The sequence below is a fragment of the Homo sapiens genome, chromosome 14 (genome assembly GCF_000001405.40).
Source record: "Homo sapiens chromosome 14, GRCh38.p14 Primary Assembly".
Taxonomy (NCBI): domain Eukaryota; kingdom Metazoa; phylum Chordata; class Mammalia; order Primates; family Hominidae; genus Homo; species Homo sapiens.
This window is the reverse complement of record NC_000014.9, coordinates 88999810-89005686: the sequence shown is the minus strand read 5'-3', so window position 1 is coordinate 89005686 and position 5877 is coordinate 88999810. Positions and strand designations below refer to the sequence as shown.

Genomic DNA, 5877 nt, shown 5'->3' with positions numbered 1-5877 from the left:
ATCAAGATAATCACAGGATGGCCTTCTTACCATTCAGTTCTCAGCTCAAATATCACCTTCTTTGAGAAGTTTTCTCTGATCACTCTACCTGAAGTCACCAACCCTTGCCCAATTCATTCACCAGCACATCATCCCAGCTTATCTTCCCAGGACTTACCACCACTTGATATGTTATATACTTATTTATTTGCTTGTTTGTAGTCTTTCTCCTCCACTAAAATGTAAGCTCCACAAAGATAGGATATTATCTGCCTTATTGGTATGGTTTGACTGTGTCCCCATCCAAATCTCATCTTGAATTATAGCTCCCATAATCCCCACATGTTCTGGGAGGGATCTGGTGGGAGGTAATCAAACAGGGGGGTGGGTCTCTCTAGCACTCTTCTCCTGATAGTGAATAAGTCTCTTGAGATCTGATGGTTTTATAAAGGGCAGTTCCCCTGCACATGCTCTCTTCCTGCCACCATGTAAGATGTGACTTTGCTCCTCCTTCACCTTCCACCATGATTGTGAGGCCTCCCCAGCCATGTGGAACTGAGACCATTAAACCTCTTTTTCTTTATAAATTACCCAGTCTCAGGTATTTCTTCATAGCAGTATGAAAATAGACAAACATACGTATTTACTGTGGTATTCCCAGCTCCTAAAACAGTGCCTGATACACTGTAGGCATTCAGTAAATAGTCTCTTAATAAGTGATCAAGGTATTTACAATGAAGCAAGGAGAGAGGGAAGAAAAGGTAAAGAGAAAGAAAAGGTGTGTATCCAGGAGCCAAATTATGGTAATAAAACTGCAATGGCATCTATTGGAAAGAGCTTGGACTCTAGAGTTATGCTTGCTCTACCATTAACTGCCCTATAACCTTGGGCAAGTTATTTGTATTAGTTAAGATGTAAATTTAGCTGCTATAACAAAGAGAGCCACCATAGTAACAGCTTAAACAATATAGTTTTTTTCTTCTCTCACTTTGAAGTCCAGGGAGGCAGTCTGTGGGTGGTTTAGTGGCTCCACAATCATCAGAGACCCAGGCTCCTTCTAACTTGCTGCTCTTCCATCCTTAAATGCATTTTCCATCTTGTGACCCAAACAAGTGCTCTGGTTCCTCATGTCTACACTCCAGTCAGCAGAGAAGGGAATAAGGGCCAGGCCCACCCCTTAAGGGCTGGGCTCAGAAATTGCACCCACCACCTCCCACTGGTTAGAACTTAGTCACCTGACTGCAAAGGAGTCTGGGAAATGAGTCTTTTGCTGGGTAGTCATGTTCCCAGCTAAAAGCTTCTATCATCATAGAGGAGGAAAATGCATCAAGAGCTGTCTCTGCCATAATGTTAAACAGCCCCTCCCACTGCTTCTCACCCAGCCCAGTTTCCTCATTTGTAAAACATGTGCCTCACTACATTACAAACAAATGAGATAAGTTATTGGGAAATAGGTCATAAGCTACAAAGTTCTATCCAGATATAAGCTACTAATTGTAAATGCTATAGAGGATTCCAGAGATGGGATTTTGGACTTATAGGGCAAGGAGGGATTAATTCTAGCCAGAATGATAGAGAAGGGTTTTATGGAGCAGATGCTTTTAAAGCTAGACATTGAAGTATTAATTTGCATTTGTTAAGGGAGAGAATAAAGGTGTGTGGGAATGGAAAGGTAAAAGAAAAAGTGAAATCAAAGGTAATAAGGTGGGAATTTATGTGCATGTGTAAGACACTGAGTGGGGTATGGTTAGAGAGAGTACAAGGGCAAGGAAAAGAGATTAGACCAGAGATGGGAGGGCCTGATGCCATGAGCAAGGGTTGAGGGGAGGTTTAGATGGGGAGTGTGAAGCCAGCATAGCCTCTGAGCTGCGGTGGGATGTGCCTGTGCCTGTGGCCTTGGAGATCAGCAGGCCATTTAGGAGGCCTCTGTGGGAGTCCCAGTGAGAGGAGCAGGAGCCTGCACTAGAACTGTGAGGATAGAAAGGTAGGGATGGATCTGGGTACTATTTCACAGGCAGAATCGTGGACTTCACAGAAGACTGAATGGAGGGAAGAGTAGGTACTATGGTTTTTACATAGTATCATTGATCAGAAGGGAGACCACAGAAAGGGGCACAAATTTAGATAAAAGAATGTAAATTCAGAATGTCTCCAATGTTAGTCTGAGTACCTCCTAGTTTTGAAACGATGAAAAAATTGGGGTCTAATTATGATATTGACGACAAAGAACCAAAGAATTCACCAAGTGATAAAGATATTTAATCAAAAGTACTGTTGCATCTTAAGGTATGATCTGATGTCTAGCAGCCCAGACAGGGCAATTAAAATTCAGTCTTGGGGAATAAGCTATTTTCCTTTCTGGGGGCCAAGCTTTTGTAACTCACTTTCCATACTCAAGCAAGGCTGGGCAAGGCTGGGCTGTGCTCCTTTTGAGTACATGGGGAACAATGGCACAAATCCTGCAGAGTTGGGATTGCATCTAAGGAGAGGCTGGAGGAACATTCAGACATCTCTCTTTTTTCCTCCCAAACATCGTCCTTTGGTCTGAAGACATTCAGACCTTGTCCCTCAGTCCAGCTATGAGAAAATGTATCCAAATTTTGCACGGTGACACTAATAGATTAAAAATACCATGTTGAGCTGAATTATAGCTCGAACATTAAGACAGGTCAGTAAAGTTGTGAGATTTTTTTTCCTTTCAAAATTTCCCATCACTGTCATAAAGCTGATTATGAAAGAAATGTAAACTTTGTTTCACCATCCGATATGGTTTGGCTCTGCGTCCCCACCCAAATCTCATCTTGAATTGTACTCCCATAATTCCTACGTGTTGTGAGAGGGACCTAGTGGGAGAAAATTTGAATCACGGGGGCGGTTTCCCCCATACTGTTCGCATGGTAAAGTCTCGTGAATAAGTCTGACAAGATCTGATGGTTTTACCAGGGATTTCTGCTTTTGCATCCTCCTCTCTTCACTTGCCACCACCATATAAGAAGAGGCTTTCACCTCCCGCCATGATTCTGAAGGCTCCCCAGCCATGTGGAACTGTAAGTCCAATTAAACCTCCTTTTCTTCCCAATCTTAGGTATGTCTATCAGCAGCATGAAAATGGACTAATACGCCATCTTCTTGGGAGCTGTCATTGACAGCGGAAAGTCCTGCATGGACAGAGGGACTGAAGATTTCTCCACATTTCTGCATGGCCATTGGTTCTAACATTTCACCTTGCAAAACTGCCACTTAGTTCTGGGTAATTGATCTTATCTCATAGTAGATTCGACCTTCAGTATCTTAAGCTGTCAGGCAGAATTTACCAATCACTCTTGCCATTATTATCATTATTATTATTATTATTGGTAGTAGTAGTAGTAGCATTTTTCTCTATACATTTGGAGATCCATGTGGTCCAGTCTAAGAAGAGTGTTACATTTAGAGACCAATATACAAAAATAATAAAAATGTAACTAAAATGTTATATTTGTATCTCTTAGAGACAGCAAAGTTTGAGTCTAATTATAATCTATTACAATACTTAGTAAACTTCTCTCTCCATGCCCCCAGTACTCCCAGATGTGTTTTCTATCTTTCCCCACCATCTCTTTCCATTCCTTAGTATGGAATTAGTATGAGCTCTCTTCTAACATGAAATAATACTTTTTATTTACAAAGAGAGTGAGCAAATACAGGGTTTAATCAGCAGGTAGAACAGAGTAAATCTGGGGACAATCACACTTTAATAATTTTTCTGACCACTTAATTGTATAATTCATTATTTGTCTTATTATTTAAACTGAATCACAATAGCCTGCTTTTATGTAGTTCTTTGTCAATTCCAAAGTGTTTTATAGCCATAACTCCTTTAATGCTCACCACAAGATAAGTATTTTGATTAGCACCCATTTTGCAGATGAGGAAACTGGGACCAAGAGAAATGAAATGAAATGAAATTTTCCAGAGTCACAGAGCTGAAAAAGAGAACCTGGATTCCAAGCCAGGTTCTATGGCTCCAAGGGAAGGGATGCCCCATTATCCCTGCACTGAACCTCCTTCAGATTTGTCCTGCTTTTTAGGGGACCTGGGAATTCTGTCAATGGGTTTGTAGCAAATGTCTGGTGAGGCTGCAGAGCTGGGACTGGGATAACACAAGGGAGGTGCCTAGGACGCTCTCTATTTCTCTCTCTCTCTCTCTCTCTCTCTCTCTCTCTCTCTCTATACTTACCTTTGCAGCCCATCCGCTATGTTGTGAGTAAGCCAAGTCCACTTGGAGAAACCATATGTAGGCACTCCAGCCAATTGCCGCAGCTAAGGTTTCTGCCAACAGTCAGCCTCAACCTCCAGTCATGTAAGTAAACAATGATGATTCCAGCCACCAGCTTTGGCATTTTCCAGCCAAGGCCCCAAACATCATGAATTAGGGACATGCTGTTCCATTGTGCCCCCTTCAAATTCCTGATGCCCCCAAATGAGGGACAACAATAAATATAATAGTTGTTTTAAACCATTAAGTGTTAGGATAATTTGTTTCACAGAAACAGATAGCTAATAACCCATCATACTTTTACACATGCTGCTTTTTAGTTTTTGTTTTCCAGAGTGAAGAGTCCTTCCTTGTGAAATCTGTCTTCATACAGGTCATACCCCCTTTGGAATCACTGTGTCACATGTCTTGATTTGCAGGGCAAGACTAGTTCAAGCACAGCCCTGAGGACAATTACCAGGGCACGCAAGGCTTATGGGAGAACCCCCATGTTTGTGGGTAAGGGTGGGGGGACTTGGAAAGGAGAAAGAAAAGAAATGAAGGAGTAGGAGGGGGAAGGAGCTAGAAAAAGGAGGGGGCAGGAAGTGGAGGAGAGTGGCATATGGCTGAGGAGGCTGGTGGTCCTCACCAGGCAGCCTTAGATTACCCAATCATACTGCTTACTCATTTCCAGGGAGGCCCTGGATGACCTTCTCCCTACAGGAACTGCTGAGTCATGCACACAGCCAGACAGGGCGTGGGAAGGTGTCTGCCACTCAACCTCAAGGCTGAGGACACCAGCTGGGCATTGTCGAGTCTAAGATGGGTTGAACCACCGCTTCCTGCCTGGCTCTGTGCTAGGCTCTGGGAATATGAGATGCCCTAAACTCCTGCCCTCAAGGAGTCAGAGTCCATTTGGGAAACTGAGTTAAAAACATTTCTGTTATTTGCTGTTTTTTCCAAGGGAGACCTCAGTTAAAATGTAGGCAGAAGTTCTGAAATACCAAGTGTGCGTGTATTGGGGTATTGGGGGTGGGGGGCAGTGTAGGGTGGAGGAACCTGCATGGATTTAATTAAAATACCGTTTTTTGTTTTGAAAGCACTTAGCTGATGCTAATTAACCATCTGGGACTGATCTGATGGTTGGCTCCAGGGACTTTAGTAACTACAATGAAAATAAATATTTCTAAACTGGGTGTGTTTCAGGTCTGATGGTTGGACTTTATTAGGACACTTTCAGGTGAAAGGGACTGAAACCAATTCAAAGTGGCTTGAGTAAAAAGGAAACTTTTTACTAAGACGTGGAGGAATCCACGTCTGGGTTCAGACACAGAGATTTCAGGCTCAGACATACTCCGTAAGACCCGGTTTCTCTCCAGATTTAGATCTGCTTTCCACCATGTTGGCTTCACCCTCATGCTTCCCACAGTGGTCCCAGCTGCTCCAAGCTCCCCCACCATAGTGACAAGATGGCTGCACAACTCCAGCCTGCATCCTCTCTGAGTCACCCTCTTGTAGATGAGCATGCTTAGCAGAAGTCCCTGTCCCTGGTTAGGTCATGTGCCCAACACGGAAAGCTTCCTTCTGGCTAAGGGATAGGAATAACCATAGAGCTGGATCAGTGGAGATAAGGTGGCCAACCAAACCACATGGACTAAGAA

General features: G+C 43.1%; 1 annotated feature.

Annotated features, from left to right (window-relative positions):
* Window positions 4114-5313: an enhancer, noted in NCBI's record as "MED14-independent group 3 enhancer chr14:89466718-89467917 (GRCh37/hg19 assembly coordinates)". NCBI's record gives its function as "activates an origin of replication core promoter dependent on BRD2, BRD4, P300/CBP and CDK7 cofactors, and independent of MED14, by STARR-seq in HCT116 cells {active_cell/tissue: HCT116}" and the evidence as "EXISTENCE:reporter gene assay evidence [ECO:0000049][PMID:35650434]".